This window comes from Homo sapiens, chromosome 1, assembly GCF_000001405.40.
Source record: "Homo sapiens chromosome 1, GRCh38.p14 Primary Assembly".
Taxonomy (NCBI): Eukaryota; Metazoa; Chordata; class Mammalia; order Primates; family Hominidae; genus Homo; species Homo sapiens.
Genome location: NC_000001.11, coordinates 70,284,239 through 70,311,431, shown reverse-complemented (window position 1 = coordinate 70,311,431; position 27,193 = coordinate 70,284,239). Strand labels below are relative to the sequence as shown.

Here is a 27,193-nt window from a genome sequence, read left to right as displayed (position 1 = left end):
GCGATCTCAGCTCACTGCAACCTCCACCTCCTGGGTTCAAGTGATCCTAACACCTCAGCCTCCCGAGTAGCTGGGACTACATGCATGTGCCTTATGTTTTTAGTAGAGACAAGTTTTCACTGTGTTGGCCAGGCTGGTCTCGAACTCCTGACCTCTGATGATCCACCCGCCTCGGCCTCCCAAAGTGTAGGGATTACAGGCGTGAGCTACTACACCCAGCCATCATTTTTATTCAACCCATAGTAGGCATCTTACCATATTTCAGGTGGAAATACTTCACTAATTTTAACAGCTACATAATACTTTATGGCATGGATGATTAAGGTTTTTCTAGTGTGTTTAATCCTTGTATAGAGAATTTTAAATTCTAAATTTAATCAGTTTTTTCTCACATTTTTATAACTCTAGCTCATCAGGCTAGTTTGTCTCTATTAATGATTATGCAGTCTTGTTACTCTAATAGTCCCATCTTGCTTTTATGCCTTATATATCATTCAGGAGTCCTGGTGTCCTAGAACACATAGAAAAACAGGTTTATAGTAGCCTTGTGTAGTAAAGGAGCTCCAAGTTAGATTGGCCTAAAACCTGAATACTGTCTTTTTTACCCCATTTTTTTCCCATGTGGGGAGACCCCAGTCCTGCTTTGTGATCCTAAACTGGGTTGTCCCTTGAGTATTTTGGCTTTTTAACTGATTCTCTTAGTAATCATTAGTGGTTTGAATTCTAAAATAATCAATGTATATTGCTGAACAAAATGTTATAAAATATTTTAAAAGTGATATTTTAATTATACTAAAATATAAATACATGCAATCACTTCTAAAATTGTGTATATATCTATAGTTATAAACAATACATTATAAATGTTGCATAATTGAGTTCCTCAAGTAACCACTGAGACAGTTGTCCAAAGTATTTCTTCTTTGAGAATTTGACTTTGATGCAAAAAGTCAGCACATCTGTTTCATTGCTAATAAAGGATTATAGTGATTTAACATCACAACTATTAATACGTGATGATTAGATGTCATGTATAATTCTAAAACGAAACCCATTGGCTTATAGATAGCCTAGATCTTTTATTAGATTTTATGATCAAACTTTAATTAGAGTTTTGGCATATTTCTTTCCCTTGTCAAAACACATAATATTTTTTAAAAAGCAAGCGAAAAATAAGGGGAAGCCAAGAAATACTGAAATCAGGGTGAGTTTACTTTTGAGATAGTAGAGCACACTCTTTTTTATGCTCTTACTTATATTCAGACTTCGAAGAAAATAGCCACAGACTTAGTAACAAGTTTGAAGGTAACTGAAATATTCCAGCCTGGATTTTTAGGTATAGAAAAGCTTTGAATTGGAGTCAGAAATACCGACCCCTAAGTATTTGACATTGCAAATCACATATTTTATATGTTTTCTGAGCTTTATTCTTCATTTTTAAAATGAGGATAATACTAACTACCCCACCTGTTGCAAACTTTCTTTTGGTGTATATGAAATAAAATCATTTTTTTGAAGAAAGCCCTTTGTATACTATAAAGTATCAAATAATTTATAATATGATCACTACTTTAAATTTTGCATTATGCATATAGCACGTTTTAACTAAAAAACTAATTCTCTATTTTTATTTGTTGTCTACAGAATCAATCCATCCTGTATTTGAGACTGTTATTTGTATATTATTATTATTATTATTTTTTTTTTTTTTTTTTTGCGACGGAGTCTGGCTCTGTCGCCCAGGCTAGCGCGATCTCGGCTCACTGCAAGCTCCACCTCCTGGGTTCACGCCATTCTCCTGCCTCAGCCTTCCGAGTAGCTGGGACTACAGGCGCCCGCCACCACGCCCGGCTAATTTTTTGTATTTTCTTTTTTTTAGTACAGACGGGATTTCACCGTGTTAGCCAAGATGGTCTTGATCTTCTCACCTCGTGATCCACCCGCCTCGGCCTCCCAAAGTGCTGGGATTACAGGCTTGAGCCACCGCGCCCGGCCTATTATTTGTATATTATAGATAGAAAACATTAAGCTTAAAAACTCTTCTGAAAATTGGGGAGTAGGCTGGGTGCAGTGGCTCACGCCGTAATCCCAGCACTTTGGGAGGCCAAGGCGGGTGGATCACCTTAGGTCAGGAGTTTGAGACCAACCTGGCCAACATGGTGAAAACCCATCTCTGCTAAAAATACAAAAATTAGGTGGACATGGTAGGGGGGCGCCTGTAATCCCAGCTACTCAGGAGGCTGAGGCTGGAGAATCACTTGAACCTGGGAGGCGGAGAGGAGAATCACTTGAACCTGGGAGGCGGAGTTTGTAGTAAGCTGAGATTGCGGCACTGCATTCCAGCCTGGGTGACAGAGCGACACTCTGTCTAAAAAAAAAAAAAAGGAAAGAAAGAAAATTGGGGAGTAAGTGGTAGCCAAATGAAAATTTAAATTTAAAAACTCTCTTTTTATTTTCTGTTTAGTGAATTATGCTACTGTTGGAATACTGTGCTAAACTTATGCTGAGGTAACAGGAAATAGGTTGGTTGTTTAACTTACGTGGAGGAGAAAAAGAGTTATTTCAGACTTGGGAAAATGTAAATTGCTATGTTTTGGAATGCATTAAAATCTATCAGAAATGTTTTTTTATTTGTTTGGTTGTTTGTTTTGCTCAATAATTTAACTTCTTTAATTTTTTTTTTTTTTTTTTTTGAGACGGAGTCTCGCTCTGTCGCCCAGGCTGGAGCACAGTGGCGCAATCTCGGCTCACTGCAAGTTCCGCCTCCTGGGTTCACGCCATTCTCCTGCCTCAGCCTCCTGAGTAGCTGGGACTACAGGCGCCCGCCACCACACCTGGCTAATTTTTTCTATTTTTAGTAAAGACGGGGTTTCACCGTGTTAGCCAGGACCGTCTTCATCTCCTGACCTCGTGATCTGCCCGCCTCGGCCTCCCAAAGTGCTGGGATTACAGGCCTCTGAGCCACCGCGCCTTGCCCTTTTCTTTTTTTTTTCTTAGCTTTTGCTCTCAATCCTCAACTTGTTTTCTCTCTGCCTTACCATTTTCCTCCTTTCCTGATTTTTAATAAAAGTATTAGTGTATGATATTAAATTCTGTTTTTGTAGGGTGTTATAATTACTTCAAAAGATATAATGTTGGCTGGGTATGGTGGCTTGTGCCTGTAATTCTAGCACTTTGGGAGGCTGAGGTGGGAGGATCTCTTGAGGCTAGGAGTTCAAGACCAACCTGGCCAATATAGGGAGACCCCCGTCTTTAAAAAAATAAATAAGTAATGAGATATAATGAAGTTAAATTAACTTAAGTTGGAGTGCTATCTACTTTTAATCATCTTTGGTTCATGATACACCAAATACTTACTTCAGGATGGATCTCAATTAATGAGCATGAAAGAACTTTGATCATTTATAGAATTACACTATTATTGCTCTTCTCAATTTTTGTTTCAAAAAAGTTTTTTCTTTCTTTCTTTTTTTCTTTTTCAAAGAGATAGGGTTTTGCTGTGTCACCTGGGCTGGAGTGCAGTGGCATGATCATAGCCCACTTCAGCCTTCGACTCCTGGCCTCAGGTGATCCTCCTGCTTCAGTCTCCCAGGTAGCTAGGACTACAGGTACCTGCCACCACACCTGGCTAATTTTTCTATTTTTATTTTTGTAGAGACAGGGTCTTGCTATGTTGCTCAGGCTAGCCTCAAGCTCCTGGGCTCAAACAGTCCTCCTGCCTTGGCCTCCCATATGGCTGCAGTTATAGCCAAACCGTGCCCAGCTGAGAAAGGAAAAGCTTTGTCAGAAGAAGATTTCTTACATTATTTCACTAGGGCAACAATTCGTTAATATTCTCTCTGGACAATAAACTTTTCTTATTTTTGCACTAAAATTCAGAAAACAGTTTTCAGTGCTGGAAGTCATTTTGCATTAAATGGTTTCTAAGGATCTAAAGGAGTCATGAAGCATTAGGTACTTTTTTACAGCATTTAAAATTTTTTTTATTTTAAAAATTTTATTTGTTTATTTATTTATTTGAGACTGGTTTATGAGACTGGCTAATTTTTGTATGTTTGATAGAGATGGGGTTTCGCCATGTTGCCCAGGCCGGTCTTGAACTCCTGGGCTCAAGCGATTTATCCGCTTTGGCCTCTCAAAGTGCTGGGATTACAGGTGTGAGCTACCATACCGGGCCTGCATTAGGTATTTATCTTTAATGTTAATTAGAAAATGTTGATGCTTTTGAAAAAGTTAACTAAGAAATTAGCCTTTAATTTTCTCTAGAGTCTTTGTTTCTAACTCAGGTTAATTTATCACCCATTTTAAAAACACTAAATTTTGTAAGATATATCTGCCGTATCTTACACACAGACAGATACACACACACTTATGTACACATGTACCTCTGATATGGTCTTAATTTCAAGAATTTTGAGCTTCACATTTCTTTCATTTCTTTGTACGTGGTAGTTTATTATAGCCTGTTATGCAGCTTTATTTGTCTGTAGAATAACTCCTATCTCCCCAAAATAGCAGATAATAAATAATAAAAAACTATCAGAATATGGCTTGTGGCATGTATATGAGCTATAGATAGCAACATAGGAATGTAGAAATCTATAGATAAATAGTATGATTCCCATTTTACAGATTTTGAAACTCAGGTACATTGAGTCTAAATAACCAAGGCACATATTTGGGATTCAAACTCAAATTTAACTGTCTCACTTCAAAGATGTCTCTTTCTATTATACACATTACTTTACTGCAATTTTTCCAAATTATATTTACAAAATTAGATAAGGTTCAGGTCTATCTGGTTACCCATTCAGGAGGGTTTAGTTACCATAGGGTTATTGTTTACTCATCTATAATATGCAGTCTGTACCTGAGTGGCATCATATTGACTCTGCTACCCTTGTTTGTGGGTGGGATGGGAGTATAGTAAACTATACAGAAATTACAAGTAAATAGTAGATATTTGAAGTTGCTCAAAATTGCCTTTTAAATTTTATTTATTTTTAAATGGAAAAATACTATTTGAAAGGAAATTATTATAATTTGATAACAGAATGTCACATTACTCTTTTAATTTAAAAGTTTGTAAATATCTCAAAATTTAGGTAGTTATTTTTTACCTTTTGTTTTTAAAAATACAGTGCCTTTACTTTCCCGAATTCTGCCTTCCGATGCATGTAAAATATACAAACAAGGTATCAATATCAGGTAAGGTGATTTGATTTTTTTCTCAGTAAAAGAAAGTTGAGATTTAGAGGAAGATTTTTTTCCCTGTAATCATAACTTACATGTGTTTTATGACGTTAAAATGCTGTAACAGAGTCACAATATTTTATCTCATTCGAGACATAATAGATAAAAAACCAAAGACATAGAACCTTTTTTTATTTTTTTATTACTTAGAGAACAAACTCAAAGTGGAAAAGACATAAAATCTTGACTAAAGCAAAGATATTATTCTTATTTAACTACAGACTATCCAGAAGGCAAACAGTGAGGATCTTGATGTAATATTAAGAAGATTTACAGTGGTTACCTTCCTGATCCTGGATTTATTAAGGAATAAGGGACACATAAGGAAGACCCAATTCTTGCCTTTTTCTCCATCTCTTTCATGTCTTTCCTTCCCCTGTTTACTAATCCGTGTATCCGTTCATCTGTTCATTCATTGATCTATCCAATCCAGTGAATATTTTGAGGCTAATTTTAATTTTCCTCATTCTGTTCCTTTTATAACTAAGATTAATGTTTGAATCTGATAGAAAATACATCTATTTAACTTACATGATTCTTTATTTTGCTTTATAATAATATAGCCATATTTATAAATTATCTATTTGTAAAGTATATATAATGCTAGTTAGTATGCCAACTTTTATGTATATATGTGCATATATTGGTATATTTATAAATAGTATACATGTATATATATAATTTTGTGTATGTGTGTGTCTGTATATCTCCAGAATATTAATTTGAAAGTTTAAGGGTCTAGAACTAGAAATAACTTGAAGGATTATCTCATATAAAGTCTTAATTTAGAGATGAGAAAGAGAAGTTAAGTGATTTTTTTTACAAGAGCATTTTACAAATTAATGGCTGAACCAGGACTTCTGACTTCTTGTTTGTTGTTCTTCTCACCATGACACAAAGCAGAAGTTTTTAAAAATCAGCTATTTCTGAGAAATTTATTGTTTAGTATTTTGAATTAGTGAAGCAATAACTTTTAGTTGGAAGTAAATTCTAGGGTAATTATCCTTAAGCAATAGAATTTGGTTAAGGTAGATATTTCTGTTTTTGTTGTTGTTGTTGTTTTTGTTTTTTCTTTTTTTAGATAATAAAGATAGGGTCTCACTATATTGCCCAGGCTGGTCTTGAACATACAGGCTCAAGTGATTCTTCCACCTTGGCCTCGCAAAGTGCTGGGATTACAGTGTGAGCCATCACACCCAGCGTGTTTTTTAAAAAAACCTCTTCAGGTGTTTCTAATTATAAAAGTGCTCATGTACCTTAAATGCACTGTCATTACAGAAAACTTGGAAAATACAGAAAAATAGAAGAAAAACTAAGTAGAAAAGGATTTTTGATGTGGATTTAATTCAGCAGCCTTTTGTTAGCAATTATTATGGTTTCATTAATTTAGACATTTTTAATATAGGTGCTTGCCAAAGATGGTAGGCAATTTTGGAGGATACTATTATCTTCCATGTGATAGTTTAAAAAGTTAGTTTTAGGCCGGGTGTGGTGACTCATGCCTGTAATCCCAGCACTTTGGGAGGCTGAGGCAGGTAGATCACTTGAGTCCTGGAGTTCGAGACCAGCCTGGGCAACATGGCAAAACCCCATCTTTACAAAAAAATATTAAAAATTAGCTGGGCATGGTGACACGTGCCTATAGTTCCAGCTACCTGGGAGGCTGAGGTGGGAGAATCACCTGACCCCAGGAAGTTGAGGCTGCAGTGAGCTGTAATCACGACACTGCACTTTAGCCTGGGCAACAGAGTAAGACCTTGTCTCAGAAAAAATAAAGTTTTTATTCTGAGTCCTAGGTTTAGGCAAGAAGGAATCTCTTTGAAAAAAAATTGTTTCACATTTATATATGACTTTTTAAAGTAAATGTTTTAGTACATATTATATAATAACTATAGGTAATAAAACCAAAAAGGTTAAAACACAACCTAGGCAATATAATGAAATCTTGTCTATACGAAAAATACAAAAAATTAGCTGGGCATGGTGGCACGCACTTGTAGTCCCTGCTACTCAGGAGGCTGAGGTGGGAGGATCACCTGAGCCCAGGAGCTTGAGGCTACAGTGAGCCGAGATCGTGCCACTGTATTCCAACCTGGGTGACAGAGTGAGTCCCTGTCACACACACACACAAAAGTTAAAACAGGAACATGAGGGCAAAAGCCTGGGGGAGAAAAATTGTGAGAAAAGTTGTAGGTTAAGGGGAAGTTAGTAACTTAGCAAGATACTAGACATGGGGCTTACTAGTAACTAAGGATGAAGGACAAATGTGATAGGTTCTAAAGCTCTCATCAAACAAGGCTTACCAGATTAATGGAGAGGATAGCTTTTAGGATGTATGACAAAAGGTTTTTTGCCTAGGTGATGAGAATCTAAAGGAAAAAATCTGTTAACATTAAATAAAAACTTGCTATTTTAAATGTCATGAGACAATTTTTTAACACCATTTTAATAAAGCTAAATTTTAAAATATATTCAAAGAGAAATCTTTAAGTTGACTTTTATTTCATGGCAGCCATGTAATCATTTGAAATGTCTTCTCTGGTATCAAAGAGAAACTAATACTTTAGTAGAAATAGGAAAGTGTGAGCAACATTATTCTTGAGAGTACTAACAAAGATTTTGACCATAAATACAAATAATTAAGAGGTAATCTGTAATCACTGATTGAAAGTATATTTGTACACTTTTTGTCTTACTTCAGGATTTTCTTGTCTGAAGTGAAGCCTTTAGTTCCTTTTTTCAGTGTTATTTGGCATTTTTTCAGGCTTTCTTCTTAAAAATAATACTTTCTATTCAAATCTTTGCATTTGTATAAAGAACTTATTGTTCTTCATGGCTAATTACATGGGAAAAATTAAAAATATTTAGGTTCATAGGCTTAAAGCCAAGGACTAGTGAGGACTTTAAAATGTTATCGTGATAATTAACATTATTTACTGAGGCATATGTGATGCAGCTTACCAGGTCATCTAATATGTCAGGGATATACAGAAAATGTATTACCCTTTTTATTGCAAAATTATAGAAACACGAATGAAATAAAAATAGGCTGTATTAATTTATATAACTGGGAAGTTTCTATAACTAATTTTACATATCGCTAGATCTAAAATCTCAAAGGTCACCATGTCAGTCTGTCTTTGTCTTTCTTTATCTGTCTTTCTGTGCATCTCTTTACTCACCTTTTCATCTCCACTCCTGGCAACCCACTACCACTTTCACCTATGATGGGCAAGCAGGGAATGGAGGCAGAAGACTGTTTTAGCCCATTTCTTCTTTTATGTAGAGCATAACATTCCCTGATAGCTGAAGCTTGGAGCCCAAATAGTGCACTTACATATAAAATGATCTGTTCCTTTTTGGTATTATCAGGAGCCCACATCTTATAGAGATAGGGGAAGAGTCCCTTTTAATACTATTTTCTTTTTTTTTTTTTTTTTTTTTTTTTTTTTTGAGACGGAGTCTCGCTCTGTCGCCCAGGCTGGAGTGCAGTGGCGGGATCTCGGCTCACTGCAAGCTCCGCCTCCCGGGTTCACGCCATTCTCCCGCCTCAGCCTCCCAAGTAGCTGGGACTACAGGCGCCCGCCACTACGCCCGGCTAATTTTTTGTATTTTTAGTAGAGACGGGGTTTCACCGTTTTAGCCGGGATGGTCTCGATCTCCTGACCTCGTGATCCGCCCGCCTTGGCCTCCCAAAGTGCTGGGATTACAGGCGTGAGCCACCGCGCCCGGCCAATACTATTTTCTTTTAGGACACATGCTCAAGCAATGATAGGTGTTATTTAATAGTAAAGCTGAATTCTAGCTTCTGGGAGTGGACTAAAAGCTAGAATTCAGCTATAAAGCAACAGGCAGCCCCCCGCCCCCCCGCCGCCCCTGTGTGAGTTGATGAGTTACTTTTTTAGGGCTTCTTGATACATAAGGCAACCATACTTCCCTCTTTGCTCTGGCTCACCCCTGTTTTCCTGGCAGAATTGTCAGTAGTGTCACTTTCATTCTTAGATTTATTAATTTTGATGATAAATTCTATGTAACCCTAGTTATTATTTTCATGCAGCATGTGAGGCATGTTTTATTTCTGTTTTTCCTGTCTAGGGAAACCAAGAATACCAACTCACTTTGCCTTGTCTGTGATGAGAACTGAAAAACCTACAGAGTAATGAATTCTTACAGTTGCATTAGAAATTCAGTAGCCAGGGTGGATTTTTCACGGAGCCTTAAAGGAGCTTCCTGGGGATGTGATCAGCATCCTTTGACAGCAGGGCCAACCAGTTTCTTGGCTTTAGGACTGTGTGTTTTGAGCAGCCATTAGCTGGGGTGATCCTGATCTGGTGATTTATAAAGCCATGTGCAAGACTGAAGCACGTCAGTGTATTGTAAACTTTTTATTTTCAGTATTTTTCCTAATTTCGGCAAGTAGTGCTTTGTGGAATACTGTTTGAGACCAGCGCATTAGGCTAGACCATGACAGGTCCAGGTTACCAAAGAGAACAGTAAACACACAAATGTGTGAATCCATGAGTATTAGATACAGAATGATCTGTAAGGTTTCCAGGGTGTGGAGATATTGGTTGGGAAAGAGAGTATTAGTCCAAATCTGAGAAGTCAAATACAAAGGCCAAGAATTTAAATGGTTTATCAAGTTGAAGGATAAAGCAAGGTTTGGTATCAGATGGTTAGGCATAAGGTTACGGGTGTATATCAGAAGAGGAGTTCTCAATTCCAAGAATGTGGTCCATCCATTGCTGTCTGGTCTTAAATACTCTGCTGAGCTAGCAACCTGGTCTTAAAGGGATCGAATAATGTCAGACAGGTCTGTGTTCCTTTTCTTCCTTCCCCGTTCACTTTTATTGAGTAGCTACAGTAAGGGAAATGGTAGGAAACAAGGGAGCAGAAAGGGAAATACCCCAAATATGGGGAAACATCTTTTTTTCTGGGTCAATGAAATATGTGTGTGTATATATATATGTGTGTGTGTATGTGTATATATATATATATATGTGTGTGTATATATATTCAGAAAATATATATGTATATTCAGAAAAGTGAAATATAGCTAAAATGGATTATATCTTTAAGTAGTTTTGTTTTTTAATAGAATATTTTAAATTTAGTTTTTATCTATAAATTTGTTTTTATCTATAAATTTGACTTTGCAATATGGTATTAGCATCTTGGTTTGAGTTTAAAAGGAACAGCTTATTTAATTATTAGTGAAGTTTTATCAAAATTATATTTGTCAGAGTTTATCATCTACCCATGTTTCACAGGCTTGACACAACTCTCATAGACTTTACTGACATGAAGTGCCAACGAGGGGATCTAAGCTTCATTTTCAATGGGGATGCGGCGCCCTCTGAATCTTTTGTAGTATTAGACAATGAACAAAAAGTTTATCAGCGAATACATCATGAGGTGAGCATGTTGTCTTATCAATATTCCTTTAAATCATTAAAAAAAAAGTATAGGTTTTTAGCAAAACCTCAGTATAATTTGCTTAAAAGCTTAAGGTATAATTGAGATGGTTTGTTCCTAAAGCTATAGTTTCCTGACCACTAGCTTTCTTTTCTTTTTTCTTTTTCTTTTTTTTGAGACTGGAGTCTCGCTCTGTCACCCAGGCTGAAATGCAGTGGCGTGATCTAGGCTCACTGCAACCTCCGCCTCCCAGGTTCAAGCAATTCTTCAGCCTCAGCCTTCAGGGTAGCTGAGACTACAGGCGCCCGCCACCAAGCCCGGCTAATTTTTGTATTTTTAGTAGAGGCTTGGTTTCACCATGTTGGCTAGGTTGGTCTCAAACTCCTGACCTCAAATGATGCACCCACCTCGGCCTCCCAAAGAGCTGGGATTACAGGCGTGAGCCACTGCGCCTGGCCTATTTTCATTTTTTATATTTCTATCCTCTGGTCTCCATCTTGACCGGTCCATTGAGCCTGCTGAGAATTCAACTGATTATCTCCTAGATCAATGAACTCCAACTTCTCTTCATTCTCATTTATAGTTTTCATTTGTTGAACCTGTGCTGGACCTTTACCATGTATTATCTTTTTATCTTACCTTCTTTTAATGTTGTTGACCATCTTTATTTTATCTCCTTAATATGAATACTTCTTTTGGCTCTGTCTGCAGTCTTACTTTTCCTAACTCTTTGGCTACCTTTCCTTTCTCTGTCCTTTCCCTCTTCAAGTACGACATGATTTTCCTTCTCTCATGCCATATCTTTGTGTTAAAAAACCATTGATATGCCCTTGATGTGGTTCTCATTTTTACAAACTGCCAGAATAATCCCTTCCATTCCCACAGTCCTATAGGTTGATGATTTACAAATATATGTTTGTGTCCATACAGTTCTGAGTAGAGGCTTATCTGTTTAAATGCCTAATGGATATCATGTGTGTCTCCCAGGTACCTCAAAATTCACCTTATTTAAAACTAACCTTGCTACTTTTCCTCCAAACCTGCTCTTTTTCCTGTTTTTCCTCTTTTGAAGAATGATGTCATTCTCTATTCAGTTAGAAACCTAGGAGTTATTTTTGATATCTTTTCTTGTACTCTGTGTTTTCTCATCAGAGCACATATCTGGTCATTTCTTTCTCCTTAATGTCTCATTATTATTCCTCTTTTATTCACACTGTCACTACTGTAATTTAAACATTCATTATTTCTCAACTGGACCATTGGAAAGTCTTATAAATGATCTTCCTGGCTCCCTTCTCATCTGCTTCTAAATTATCCCACATGTTGGAGATACATTAAACTTTAGAAACACATTTATGAAACCTTAGTTACTTAGAGATACTTAAAAAGTTCCCCATTACCTAAAGAGTGAAATCTAATCTCCTTAGCACGGCATGGTTCCTTTTGTCACCTGAGTTTTGCTCACCTTTCTAGCCTTTTTCTTACCTTACTATTTTAGATACCCTCATACTGCACTCTTGGCAGTTTGTCAGATGTGCCAGGCTATTTGGGCCTTTATTCCTTTGTTCATGTTCTTTCCACTTCCTGGAATGCTTTTCTTTTTGCACCCTCACACCTGTAGGGCATGCACTTGGTGTTACTTTCTCTCCCACCAAATGACTTTTGTTGTCCTTATGTTCCTATTAAATCTGGAACCATAAAGCTTCTAATGTTACATTTACTGACATGGCTTTTTTCCCTTCTATTGGTCTAAGCTCCTCAAGGGCGTGGGGTTCTTTTTGTTGTATTCCCTGTTATCTAATACAGCATCAGTACATTCTACGCTATAGGTTGGTAAACTCTTTCTGTGAAGGAAGAGATAATAAATATTTTTAGATATTAAAATATATTTGTGGGCCATATGGCCTCTGTCACAACTACTCAACTCTGCTGTTGTTAAAAGCAGCCACAGACAATATGTAAATAAATGAGTATATTCCATTATCATTTTATTCATAAAAACAGGCAGCTGATTATAGTTTGCTTACTCATATGTGAGCCTCTCAGATATTTATTAAATAATTTGACCTCTTACTTATGAAATGACAACAGGATAGCCAACTAGGCAATAAGTGAATTGGAAATAGGGTCTTGAAAGAGAAGCTAGAAGTTAAGGCTAGTAGTCCATAAGTATTTGTGGATGTCATAGTATTACCAAAGAACTGGTATTAAGGGTACCAGTTTTAAGGTATTAAGGTATGTATGTACTAGTATTAAGGTATGTATGTATACATACATATATGTATTATGTATTTTATAATGCCTACAATACAGGAAAGATAAATTTTGAGCAGTATTCCTTAGGGCAGAGAATACTTGTTGTTTATCCTAATATGTATGTATGTATAAGTAATAACTTCATTAAATGTTGAAGCAATGTAATTAATTAAAACAGCAGATCTTTTTCAGTGATGTGGTTAAGAGATAGTCTCTGATTTATATAAGAATTCTGTTCCAAAAGTTTATTGAAAATAGGATGTTTGAAATGTAAGGCAAATTTGCTCATAGACAATGGGTTATACAGTGTTCAGTTTCCAAGCTAATATATAAAATTCTACTTGATTCATAATATATTTGAAGTATAGTGTTTAACAGTTCTGTTTAACTACTGCAACCTAACTTTTTTTTAAAGAATATTGTGTTCAGAATTAATTTGGGTTACCAGGAATACATTTTCACCTATTATGGCTTTAGCAGTAACACCAAGATTTTGCATTCTTTACTTGTAGGGGTAGAGGAAATGGTACTGTCCCAGGCCCAAGCCATTGCTATTTTTTTGTTTGTTTGTTCTTTGTTTTTTTTTTTTTTTGAGATGGAGTCTCTCTCTGTCTCCAGGCTGGAGTGCAGTGGCGTGATTGATCTCAGCTCACCGCAACCTCCACCTCCCGGGTTCAAGTGATTCTCCTGCCTTAGCCTCCCGAGTAGCTGGGACTACAGGCGCGTGCCACCATGCCCGGCTAATTTTTTTTTTTTAGTAGAGACGGGGTTTCACCATGTTAGCCAGAATGGTTTCTGTCTTCTGACCTCGTGATCCACCTGCCTTGGCCTCCCAAAGTGCTGGGATTACAGGCATGAGCCACCTAGCCCGGTCGCCAATGGTATTGTTTTTGGAAATTCAGGAAGGGACTATATGGGCTGGGCACGGTGGCTCATGCCTGTAATCCCAGCGCTTTGGGAGGCCGAGGCGGGCGGATCACGAGGTCAGGAGATCGAGACCATCCTGGCTAACATGGTGAAACCCCGTCTCTACTAAAAATAAAAAAATTAGCCGGGCATGGGGGCGGGTGCCTGTAGTCCCAGCTACTCAGGAGGCTGAGGCAGGAGAATGGTGTGAACCCGGGAGGAGGAGCTTGCAGTGAGCTGAGATTGTGCCACTGCACTCCAGCCTGGGCGACAAAGCGGGACTCTGTCTCAAAAAAAAAAAAAAAAAAAAAAAATCAGAAAGGGACTCTATGTAGGTTAAAGTTAGATGGTGAAGAATAGAAAATGGGCCTCTTGGGAACCTAGAAATAAGGAGGTTTGGAGAATGAAGGCTCTAACTATTGTAAACCCTAGGGACTGTTATTATTCTCCAGACAACTCCCTAGGTTTTGCCTTTTTTCTTCCTTATAACGTCTTAAATATTAGTTAGGGTATCTTTCTTGGCCTATTATGGAATAGAATCTCATCTTATACCTGCTCACTTACTCTTCTGTACTTGATCATTTAGTCTTCTGTCCCTGAAGCAAGCACAAAACTTTCCTTTTTTCTCATATAAAAAATAATTATTGCTCAATTATTATATACCAGCACTAGGGAATATGTACAGGATAAAACCTGAAGCATGACTACTCATTAAGTTTAGAAATTACGGTTGATATTTATGGATTCCTTTCCATTTTATAAGGAATACAGAAAAGATCCTTTCTTGCTTCTTTTCCTTCCTTCCCTCTCTGCTGCTTCCCTTCTTCTATCCCTCCCTTCAGTTCTTCCTTTCTTCCACTTACAATTTATTGGGAAAGAAAGGCTCAAATGACAGTGGTGGATCTTTGCATTAAGAAGAACTAAAGTAAGATTAATCTGTATTGAAAGAAAAATATCCTTTATCTGGGTTTTTTTCTCAGATCTGTCAAGTTAATTCTTAAAGTTGTTTTTAAAAATTGCTCTATGGACTATACAGTTTTATAATGGGTAATCTAGTACTGCTTCCATTACATATCTATAACAGGATAATAGTACCGTATTTCATGTGTCCTGCTTTTATAGATTCATAATTAGTCATAATGCTAACTTAGAGAAGATATTAATATGTACAATTTAAACATCTAATTCTTTTTAGAGTAAGTAACACTTCACATTATTTAGAAACTATCCTTTTTGTCTTTAAAAATTGGTACCATTATAATTGTTGATATTTTCATATGTAGTACTAAGAACTTTTGAAAAACCTAGATTTTTATATTTAACTTTTGCTCACATCCCAGGAATCAGAGATGGAAACAGAAGAAGAGGTGGATATTTTAATGAGCAGTGATATTTACTCTGCAACTTTATCAACAAAATCAATTTCTTTCACGCGTGCCCAGACAGGATGGCTTTTTCGGGAAGATAAAACAGTATGTGCAAATCTAGATTTTTAAACTTTAAGCATTGTTCGGTATTTAATATTTCCAAAATAACGTGATGGAAATGCAAGAAGTAGCTTACAGAATTGTCTCCAAGTAGTTTTTTTCTCTCTTCCTTGAATCCAGATAAGGAATTATAATGGATGGTTAGAGTCAGAATGTGTCCTTGGAGAATTCAGGAAAGAAAGCTGAGCTCATTTGAATTCTGTGTCAGGAAGGACTCTTATTGCTAGCTGTCTTGTTATTATACAGGGAACAATGTTTTCACATGATTCCATTATATTTCTAGTGCTTTATTCGATAAGAAGACTACAAAAAGGGATAAACTTGACTCTATTTCCCTGAACCTGTTTGTCTCCCTACTTTAGACTTCTCATTTACTTAATATTTTTTTCTTGTATTCTATACATATGAGTAAGATTAAATAACCTTACATTTCTGCAACACTGTAGAATTGTTAAATCAAATCTCGGGGGAAGTTTCCCCATTAGTGTAAATTATTTCCATAATTCCCATTGTATCTGTCAGCAAGAGGTTATATAAGACTATTCAAATATATATTCGGAAAATTTTGAGGCTAGGCGTGGTGGCTTATGCATGTAATCCCAGCACTTTGGGAGGCCGAGGCCGGCGGATCACGAGGTCAGGAGTTCGAGACCAGCCTGGCCAACACGGTGAAAACCTGTCTCTACTAAAAATACAAAAATTACCCGGGCGTGGTGGTGCATACCTGTAATCCCAGCTACTCGGAAGGCTGAGGCAGGAGAATCGCTTGAACCCGGGAGGTGGAGGTTACAGTGAGCCGAGATGGCACCACTGCACTCCAGCCTGAGACAGAGTGAGACTCCGTCTCAAAAAAAATAAATAAATAAAAATAAAAATAAAAATAAATTGAATGAGCTGTATGAAGAAGCATGTTTATAAAATTTTAAATTTAACAGTAAGTGACCACATCAAGTCAGGGTCAAGATTGACTTCTATTAAAAATTATATTTATTTTTATTATACACAATGAAATGAATATATTCTCAATGGAGAAATAAGAAAAATAGCATTATTAGGGTTCTCTGAGAAACAAAACCAGTAGATAGAAGGGGAGTGGAGAGAGGAAGAAAAAAAGAGTAAGGGGGAGAGAGGAGAAGGAAGAAATTGATTTATTTTGAGGAGTGGTTCATGAAATTGTAGGAGTTGGCAAATCTGAAATGTAGAGCAATCTAGCAGGCTGGAAATTTAGTAAAGAGTGGATATTGTGCTCTTGAGTTAGAAATGTTCAGGCTTGGCCTCCTGGGCAACATAGCAAGACCCTGACTCTACAAAAAATTTAAAAATTAGATGGCTGAGGTGGCACAAGCCTATAGTCGCAGGTGCTTGGAAGGATGAGGTGAGACGATTACTTGAGCCCAGAAGGTTGAGGCCACAGTGAGTGATCACACCACTGCACTCTAGCCCAGGTGACAGAGTGAACTCCTGTCCAAAAAAAAAAAAGAGAGAGAAAAAGAAATCTGCAGGCTGGAAACTCAAGCAGGGTTTCTGTGTTGCAGTTTTGAGGCAGAATTGCTTTTTTTTTTCCTGGAAACCTCAGTTTTTGCTCTTAAGGCCTTCAAACTGATTAGATTAGGCCCACTCACATTATGTAGGGTAATTAGCTCTACTTAAAGTCCGTTGATTGTTAATCACATCTAAAAAATACCTTCACAGCAACATCTAGACTGGCGTTTGACCAAACACCTGGCATCATAGCGTAGCCACGCTGACACATAAAATTATCATTTAACTTTATACATAAAGCTAAAAAGCCCTCCTTGGCCACTGCCCACAGTCCCACATCCCCTTGCAGAATGTCACCAGTTTTTATATCCTCCAGACCTTTTTTATGCTCTCCATATGTAAATATGAGCTCATAATAATAGGTAGCCTTTTGTTGTTGATGCTTACTTTTTCATAAAGTGTCGTGTCATATCGTATCTACTGTTTTGCAGCTGGCTTTTTTTCCTCATTCTTTAGTATGTCGTAGAAATCTTCTCTTACCAGTACATGTAGTGCTAGTTCACTCTTTTTAGCAATTGCATAGTATTCTATATGATGGATATACTGTAACTTAACATATTCAGTCTTGTTTTTGGACATTTAAATGAATAGTCACATTTGTGTCCAGTTTTCTGCCATTATAAATGATGTGTTTATCATCCTTTTACATGCCTTTGCCTGTTATAAGTAGCAAGAAATTAAGTGGCTGGGTAATGGGGAATACACACTTAACATTTTGTTGATATGATAATTTACATTTACTAAGTGGTTTTTCATTATAAGGTTTCAAAAACTGATAATTACCACCTGGTTATTTCCCAGCCACAGATAAATTCTGTTAGGAAATCTAAGCTCACTGATTTTCCTCTCTAAGCCTAATGGCATTATAGCATTCTCAGTTGTGAGGTCCTACATTGCAGTCCATTTGTTGGCTTTAAAGTCTTATTTGTTTGTACTTTGTTCTTCTGGGCAGCATTAGATGGATCACTTCAAGAGAAGATAAAAATTGAAACTGCTAATCATCTAGTACTACTGCTAAGCAGCTCAAAGCTCTTGAAGCATCTAGGTGATCTTCTTAAATCTTTGACAGGTAAGGAGGGAGTCAGTAATACTTATGGTTCCCATTTTGTAGGTAGAAACAGGTGCAGAATGCTTTGCTTTTTTTGCAAGGTGGACTGGAACACAACTCTGAACATGTAGTTTTGAAATGTCAGTAAACAGCAGCAGGGTGGAGACATGTGATTTGCATGCAGATAGAAATGGGAAGCTTGTTTTCAGTAAGTTATTTATCTTTTTTTTGTTTTTTTTTTAAGTAAGGTATTTCAAACTCTGAATACCTGTGGGTCTGAAAAAGGTAAAAGTTAATGTTGAAGGTTTAAGAGGACTTTATTGAAAGAAAGTAATGACTTTTTTTGATGTCCTTTACACCACTTGAGTTTCCCTAAAACACTTTAATTGTATTGGTGAGCAAGGGTACTCTTTTCCTCTTTTCTTTGTTGAAAACAGGCAGCTGTAACTTGAAGTTTGGTGCCTGTTAGAGAATAGAGAATGTGAACAGGTCATTAATTCTGGTTGTACTAGAGATTCTTGTGTGACATGGACTATTTATTTCTTTTTATTCCACTTTTTTTCTATCTATAAAATGGGAACAGTGTTATCCCTGACCCCTCCTTGTTACTCGTGATATTTGACTGCCAGCTTAATAGTTTTGAGATAGCTTTGTGCTACTTGGGAGTAGGATCTGAAGAAATGCTATGTGGCAATTTTATTTAAAATCATTTGCAAATTAACTACCATACATTTTTATGTATTTTAAATTTCTCTTTACTGATTTGAAATGTATGCTTTTGTGTATTTTTCAACTTATTGAATAACTTAGATGTATATGTTGTATAACCTAGAAAATGTAAGATAGTTTGATAATTTCAAGTACCAAAGGAATATTTATTTTCACCTACATGTTACATATTTATGGAAAAATATATTACCTTGACACTTTTTTTAACCTAAAAATTTTACTTTTAAATATTTGGTTTTGTTTTAGGAAAGAGTAGGAAACTTTTTGGCAGACTTTTACCTGGTGAATGGACTTGTTTTAGAATCAAGGAAAAGAAGAGAACATCTCAGTGAAGAGGATATTCTTCGAAATAAGGCCATCATGGAGAGTTTGAGTAAAGGTGGAAACATAATGGAACAGAATTTTGAGGTATAATTTTTAATTCTTCTAATTTGTAGTTTTCTAAGAAGAGAGGGGATAGATTTCATTCTTGGTGGCATTCAGTAAGTATATAAATGTACTCACAGCTTTTATTTACTGTGTGTTACCTTTTTCTGTGAATCTTCATTTCGTTGATGTCATTATTATGAAGACAAAAAAATGTCTTTTGGGATTTTTTTGTGAATCTGTACTTTATCTTTGAGTCTTCATTAATAAATAGATTAAAAGCGTGAAACCTAATGTTATTATTATATTTTGAGATGGATTCTTGCTGTGTTGCCCAGGCTGGAGTGCAGTGGCTCAATCTCGGCTCACTGCAACCTCTGCCTCCTGGGTTCAAGTGATTCTCCTGCCTCATCCCCGCCAGGTAGCTGGGATTACAGGCCCTGCTACCAGGCCTGGCTAATTTTTGTATTTTTAGTAGAGACAGGGTTTTATCATGTTGGCCAGGCTGGTCTCAAACTCCTGACCTCAAGTGATCTGCCTGCCTCAGCCTCCCAAAGTGCTAGAATTACAGATGTGAGCCACTGTGCCTGGCCCCTAGTGTTATTTATTTATTTATTTATTTAGAGTTGGAGTCTCCCTCTGTCGCCCAGGCTGGAGTGCAGTGGCAAGATCTTGGTTCACTGCAACTTCCGCCTCCCAGGTTCAAGCGATTCTTCTGCCTCAGACTCCCGAGTAGCTGGGATTACAGGTGCTTAATTCTTTCTGCTTTGCTAATCAAAATCCGCTGCTTTGAAGGCCCAGCTAAAGATCCATCTACTTCATGGTGTCATCTCTGACTTACACCTTCCCATATGTTTCTTGTTTAGCATATGTTTACTGAAAGCATGCTATATGCAAAGAATTGTGTGACAGTAAGGAAAGGGGAGGAGAAATTAGGAAATAAAAGATGTATGAGACATGGTAACTGCTCCTCAAATCTTATTCCTCTGTGAAGTGAATTTAGATGCATTCTTAAATTTATTTTTTATTTGTATAATTTTATATTTCCAAAAAAATACTAGAGTCATACAAAGAATTCTTGGACACCTTCATCAAGATTTCCCAGATGGGCCCAGGCGTGGTGGCTTACACCTGTAATCCCAGCACTTTGGGAGGCCAAGGTGGGCGGATCACCTGAGGTCAGGAGTTCAAGACCAGCTTGGCCAACATGGTGAAATCCCGCCTCTACAAAATTAGCTGGGCATGGTGACACATGCCTGTAATCCCAGCTACTCGGAAGGCTGAGGCAGGAGAATCGCTTGAGACTGGGAGGTGGAGGTTGTGGAGCTGAGATTGCGCCATTGTGCTACATCCTGGGCAACAAGAGCGAAACTCCGTCTCAAAAAAAAAAAAATTTCCCAGATGTTAATGTTTTACTGCCATTTGTATAGCACTGTTTTTCAAACTGCAATATAGGGATCCTTTAGTAGATTATAAGAAATTAATTTAGTGGGCCATGACTACTTTTTTTTCCTTTTCTCCCCTCAGTTGTTGGCAATACTTAAAAAAATTTGTATCTAAATAAAAATGGTAGGCCAGGCACAGTGGCTCGCACCTGGAATCCCAGCACTTTGGGAGGCCAAGGTGGGAGGATTGCTTGAGTCCAGGAGGTGGAAACCAGCCTGGGCAACAGAGCAAGACCCTGCCTCTACTAAAAAAATAAAAAATTAAAAAATTAAAAATCAGCTGTGCGCAGTGGCATGAGCCTATAGTTCCAACTACTTGGGAGGCTGAGGCAGGATGATCACTTGAGCCCGGGAGACTGAGGCTACAATGAGCTATAATCATGCCACTGCCACTGCATTCCAGCCTGGGTGACACAGTGAGATCCTGTCACAAAAAAAAAAAAAAGGAGAAAAATCAGAGCACATTACACATACTGAGAGTCATTACTACTTCATGAAACAATAGTTTCAAGATTGTGTGTGTTGTATAAACATGCATATGTGTGAGTGCCGGATTGTAATATAAATTGTGAGTCACAGTTATAAAAAGGTTAAAAGGCTACTACATACTACAAAGAGGCTTGAATTGCTGGAATGTTTAGTCCTTTCCCTATAGTATTGTCCTGGATTCTATGTTTTAGTGATGGTCAAAGTTTCCAGAATAGTATGCCAGGTTTCAACTAATTCATGGTAATACTATGTTTGTCAGTAAAACATTTTAATATTTAGAAAGATCATATATTGAGTGAATCAGCCATAGTTTAGTTGAGTACATTATGTAAAATGTTTAAAATTGTGATCATGCCACTTTAGTGTGATCCTATCCCCTTCCTGCCACATCTCATTTGTGCTCCTAATTTTTCTTCTGACTTTGGGATAAAGCTTCACCAGACTTCATTTTTCCAGGAGCCTGCTAGTATTTACTGATCTCTCAGTCAGTAGGAAATACTTGACAAAATGCACTCAGGAAATAGAAATGGAGATGAATTAATAGCGGGAATGCTGAGCTCAGTCTTTGACAGGGCTGCTGTCTTCTCCCATTGTTGGCCAGACAAAAGGCCATCTCTTTGGACTTATATTGTGATTTAAATTTTATTAGAGTTATTTTGAAAAAAGTGATTTTGTTGTGTTGGTGGTTAATGCTACTTTTTTAAAAATTTGGGCAACACAGGCTGGGCGCGGTGGCTCAGGCCTATAATTCCAGCACTTTGGGAAGCCGAGGTGGGTGGATCACGAGGTCAGGAGATTGAGACCATCCTGGCTAACATGGTGAAACCCCGTCTCTACTAAAAATACAAAAAAAAAAAAAAAATTAGCCGGGCGTGGTGGCGGGCGCCTGTAGTCCCAGCTACTCAGGAGGCTGAGGCAGAAAAATGGCGTGAACCCCCGGGAGGCAGAGCTTGCAGTGAGCGGAGATCGTGCCACTGCACTCCAGCCTGGGTGACAGAGCAAGACTGTCTCAAAAAAAAAAAATAATAATTTGGGCAACAAACTAATTTGGGATAAGTATATGGAAATAAGACTTTATAGAATGCTGTTTCATGGACTGTTTGCCAGTTGCCTCTTCTGGTCTGATTTATGTACATTTAAACTTACGATAGACAACTTGATTTTCTTAAGGGCAGAGGTTGTAACCGGATGTATTTGAATAGTTAAAGAGGTCTTTAAGTAGCATTTTAAGCAGCCGTACTTTGCAAGTTGAAATTAAAACATAGTTTAATGCCAGATAGCTACATAATGGAACAAACTAATATTACTTAAATTAAATAATTAAGCTTTCAACTTCTAATCAGAAATTAAAGGAAACACTTCCCATATAAACCATAGGATTTTGAACTTTATAGTTGATGAATATTTAAATTCAATTTGTCACTTTCTACAAAAGATAAAAAACGTGGTGGGATTTTGATTGGGATAATGTTGAATCTGTAGATAAATCAATTTCAACATAAAAGCCTGTTTGGATTTTTTTAAATTAAGCTTTTTATTTTGAAATATTGTAAATTCACATACAGTTGTATGAAATCATACAGGGATTCCATGTATGCCTCACCCAGTTTCCCCCAGTGGTAACGTCTTACCAAGGTATAGAACAGTATCATGGCGAGGATATTGGCATTTGTAGTCAAGACACAGAAGATGTCTACCACCATACGATCCCTCATGTACCTCTTTTATAGGCACATTTGCTGCCCCCTTAGCCTCTCTCTGTCCCTTATGCCTGGCAATCACTAATCTGTTCTTCCATTTCTTTAGTGTTGCTGTTTCAAGGATGTTCTATAAATGGAATCATATAGTACTTAGCCTTTTGAAATTGGCTTTTCTTTTTTCACTTAGCATAATTCCCTGGTGATTTATCTAAGTTGTATGTATCAATAGTTTGTTCTTTTTTTGTTGAGTAGTATTTCATGGTATTAGTGTACCACAGTTTGTTTAACCATTCACATGTTGAAGAACATCTGGGTTGTTTTGGGCCATAATGAATTAAGCTGCAAAAAACATTCACATATAAGTTTTTGTATGAATGTAATATAAGTCTTCATTTCTCTGGGATAAATGCCCAAGAGTGCAGTTTCTATGTCATATGGTAGTTAGCTGAATGTTTAGTTTTGTAAGAGACTGCCAAAGTGTTTTTCATTTTACATTCCCATCAGCAGTGTATGAATGATCCAGTTTTTCTACATCCTTGCCAGCTTTTGGTATTGTCATTATTTTCTATGTTACTCATTCTGTAGTGTTCAATGCTATCCCATTTTGATTTAATTGCATTTTCCTAATGGCTAATGATATTGAATGGTCATCTCTTCATGGCTTATTTGCTATCTGTATATCCTCTTCTGTAGCATGTCTCTTCATGCCTTTTGCTCTTTTCCTAATTGGATTTTCTTTTTTTCATTACTGTTGAGTTTTCAAAGTTGTTGTTTCTGAGACATGGTCTCACTGTTTTGGTCAGACCAGGAGTGCAGTGGCACGATCTTGGTTCACTGCAGCCTTGACCGCCTCAACTCAAATAATCCTCCCACTCAGTCTCCTAAGTAGCTGAGATTACACGCATGCATCACCATGCCCAGTTAACTTTTTATTTTTATTTTTTATTTTTTTGTAGAGACAAGGTCTCACCATGTTGCCCAGACTGGTCTCAAACTCCTGGGCTCAAGGGATCCTCCTACCTCAGCTTCCCAAAGTGCTGGGATTATAGGCATGAGCCATTATGCCTGGCCCAAAGTTCTTTATATTTTCTAGATGTTAATTCTTCATCAGATAGGTGTTTTGCAAATATTTCCTCTCACTCCACAGCTTGTCTTTTCATCTTCTCAAAGTGGGCTTTCATTGAAAAAAAGTTTATCATTTTGATGACATCGAATTTATCATTTTTTATCTTATGTCACATGCCAAATCTGAGAACTTTTTGCCTAGCTCCAGGTTCCTAGAATTTTCTCCTGTGTTTTTTTCTAAAAGTTTTATATCTTTATATTTTACATTTAAGGAAATGACCATTTTGAGTTAATTTTGTGGAAAGCATGAGGTTTAGGTCAAAGGTTTATTTATTTTTTTTTTGCCTTGGATGCCCAGTTGCTCCAGTATCATTTTTTGAGAAGTCTGTTCCTCCTCCATTGTATTGCCTGCTGAGATTTGTATAGGGATGGTGTTGAATCTATAGATCAATTCGGTGAGACTTGATATCTTAACAATATTGAATCTTCTGTTTGATGAACATGGTGCATCTCTTCATTTATTTAGATTCTCTATAATTTCTCTCAGAAGTGTTCAGGGTATAAATCTTACATATATTTTATTAAATTTATCGTGTAAATTTTTAATATTTTTGAGACTATCATAAAAGATTATCTTTAAATTTCATTTCCAGTTTGTTTTTATACATAGAAATAAATGTAATTTTTATATTTCTATGTTTATATATTCTATAGTCTTTATTTTATTTTTATTTTTTGTTTTCTTGGAGACAGAGTCTCGTTCTATCCCCCAGGCTGGAGTGCAGTGGCACGATCTCAGCTCACTGCAACTCTGCCTGCCATGTTCAAGCAATTCTCCCGCCTCAGCCTCCGGAGTAGCTGAGATTACAGGTACCCACCACCACGCCCGGCTAGTTTTTGTATTTTTAGTGGAGACAGGGTTTCGCCATGTTGGCCAGGCTGGTCTAGAACTCCTGACCTCAGGTCATCTGCCTGCCTCGACCTCCTAAAGTGCTGGGATTATAGGCATGAGCCACCGTGCCTGGCCTATTCTGTAGTCTTTTGTATATTACTTAGGATTTTCTACAAATGCTTATGTCATCAGATAATAAAGATAGTTTTACTTTTCTCTTGCCTGTTCTTATTTCTTTTATTTGTTTTTCTTACCTCACTGTACTGGGAAGTAACACCAGTATAATAGTGAATAAAAATGGTATGAGCAGGTGCACATGGCTTTTTCTTGATCTTGGAAGGGACTTTTTTATACTAACATTAATTTTTTAAAAAAAAATTAGTCTTATTTTTCAACCTGACTTAAGTCATTTAATAATTACTAGGAACCAAGATTTTGTTGTTATTTGTCAGCATAGTAATCCTTTTAAGATTATATTTTAAATTTTTTTAGAATGAAGAAAATGTGCCTTTTTATATGTTATTTGGACTTTTGATAAGGAGGAATCGAAGAATTGCATTTGAGAATATTCTCAGAGTTCAATTATAAATCTTTTTAGAAGAAATTTAAAGAAAATATTAATAGTAATTCTATCAGATATTCATCAATACATATAATTTGATTTGGTTTAATTAGGTAAGGTATAGGATGCAAGAACAACAAAATAGAATTGATAGGTGTAATTATAGAAAGATACTGGTAGCTGTGTGTTGTTTTTTCTCTTAGACACAGACACAGAATTTAACACCTGGAAAGCAGCATGGAACTGTTAGCAGTTTATATATATATAATAGTGGTCATTAAAGAAGAAAATAAATGTTTGTATGTATTTTGTTTATAATTTTAGAAGTACAGTTCTTTTAAGCCTGCACAATAAGCTTTTTAAGAAAGGTATATATAAGTTTAACTTGGCCGGCACGGTGGTGGCAGGCAGATCACTTGAGGTCAGGAGTTCGAGACCAGCTTAACCAACATGCTGAAACCCTGTCTCTACTGAAAATATAAAAATTAGCTAGGTGTGGTGGCACGCTGTAATTCCAGCTACTCTGGAGGCTGAGGCAGAATTGCTTGAGCCTGGGAGGCAGAGGTTGCAGTGAGCTGAGATCACTCCACCCTACTGCAGCCTGGGTGACAGAGCGAGACTCTGTCTCAAAAAAAAAAAAAAAAAAGTGTTTAACTCTATTATTTAATGTGAGGTTAAACAACAGGGGGTGAAAGAGGAGAGACCTATCAAATAAATTCAAGAGACATTTCCATTTTAATGGTGAACTAGATTTGAAAATTTAAAGTTTTAAAAGTCATTATAGCTGGGTGCAGTGGCTTACGCCTGTAATCCCAGCACTTTGTGAGGCTGAGGCGACCGGATCACTTGAGGTCAGGAATTCGAGACCAGCCTGGCCAACGTGGTGAAACCCCATATCAACTAAATATACAAATAAAATTCGTGGGCATGGTAGTGCGTGCCTGTAATCCCAGCTACTCAGGAGGCTGAGGCAGGAGAATTGCTTGAACCCAGGGGGCAGAGGTGGCAGTGAGCCGAGATCATGCTACTGCACTCCAGCCTGGGCAACAGAGTGAGACTCCATCTCAAAAAAAAAAAAAAAAAAAAAAAGACATTATAAATCAGTATTGAAAATTGATGCTTTCAAGGTCACAGCTGACAATATAAGAACAAATCAAGTGTAGAAATAGACATGTGCTATATTAATTTTCAAGTCACAGTGAATTGTAGGTTAGTAACTCAGATGTATTTAATTAATGACAGTTGTGTGGAAAGCATTATATTTTATCAGAGAGTAATGAAGGATTCTCCAGTGGCCTATTCTGAGTTGAGTGCCATAAGCTCAATTTCAGCTTCTGCAGGTTAAAAATGACATTTATTGGATGTCTTTCGTAGCTGGCTAAAAAAAGAAAACAACAGGAATGAAAACTGAATTCATATACACCTCAACAAAGTTTTCTTTCTTATTGATATTGGCTTAAAACATTGAAGTTGTTAGCATGGGCCTTGTACTAAGTACTTTCCATATATTATCTGGTTTAGTTATTGTAATGACCTAAAGAGGTGAGTGCCATTGCCCATTTTATAAAAAAGAAATTGAGGTTTAAGTAAGTTAATTTGTCTGAGTTACGAAGATAGAGAAGCAGAGATGGACTTTTATGTTAGGAACCTGACTGCAAGCCTGTTCTTGCTGTAAGTTCTTTGCTTCTTAGTCTGTCTTTGTTATAGTTTCTTCTTTCTGTATATTCAGGTATTAACACGTCTTAGCAATTCTTTCAAAATACTGGGAAGTTGAAGTCAGGAAAGAGTGGGGAAAACCTTAAGAAATAATCCTGGGAATATGTTATTGGTAAATGTAGTAAAAACTAGTAGAGCACATAATAGTAAAAAATATATTTTTGATTTTGGAGAATTATTAAAGTTTCAAAAATCTAGAAAATATATATGATTTCTTATTTTTTTCAAAATACATTAAAATTATATATTTTAAAGCCATGTTTTAATAGAATTTCCATTCTTAAAAATAAATGTCTATTCCTTTTTGGAATGAATTTATATG

At 36.8% G+C, this 27,193-nt stretch overlaps 1 protein-coding gene across 12 annotated transcripts in view; it reads left to right on the top strand.

The window, feature by feature from the left end:
* The window catches only part of ANKRD13C (ankyrin repeat domain 13C), a 95,724-nt gene that overhangs the window by 43,291 nt on the left and 25,240 nt on the right, over nucleotides 1-27,193 (top strand). For 8 of the 12 annotated variants that reach the window (XM_047431282.1, XM_047431278.1, XM_047431276.1 and 5 more), the window contains 4 exons: nucleotides 5,142-5,208; nucleotides 10,524-10,668; nucleotides 15,171-15,302; nucleotides 18,883-19,044. In XM_047431282.1, the coding sequence (XP_047287238.1) occupies nucleotides 5,142-5,208; nucleotides 10,524-10,668; nucleotides 15,171-15,302; nucleotides 18,883-19,044 (506 nt within the window). Of the gene's footprint in view, nucleotides 1-5,141; nucleotides 5,209-5,474; nucleotides 7,725-10,523; nucleotides 10,669-15,170; nucleotides 15,303-17,811; nucleotides 17,929-18,882; nucleotides 19,045-27,193 lie in introns of those variants that run through there. The other 4 variants (XR_007064007.1, XM_047431283.1, XM_047431284.1 and 1 more) reach the window with 4 other exon arrangements.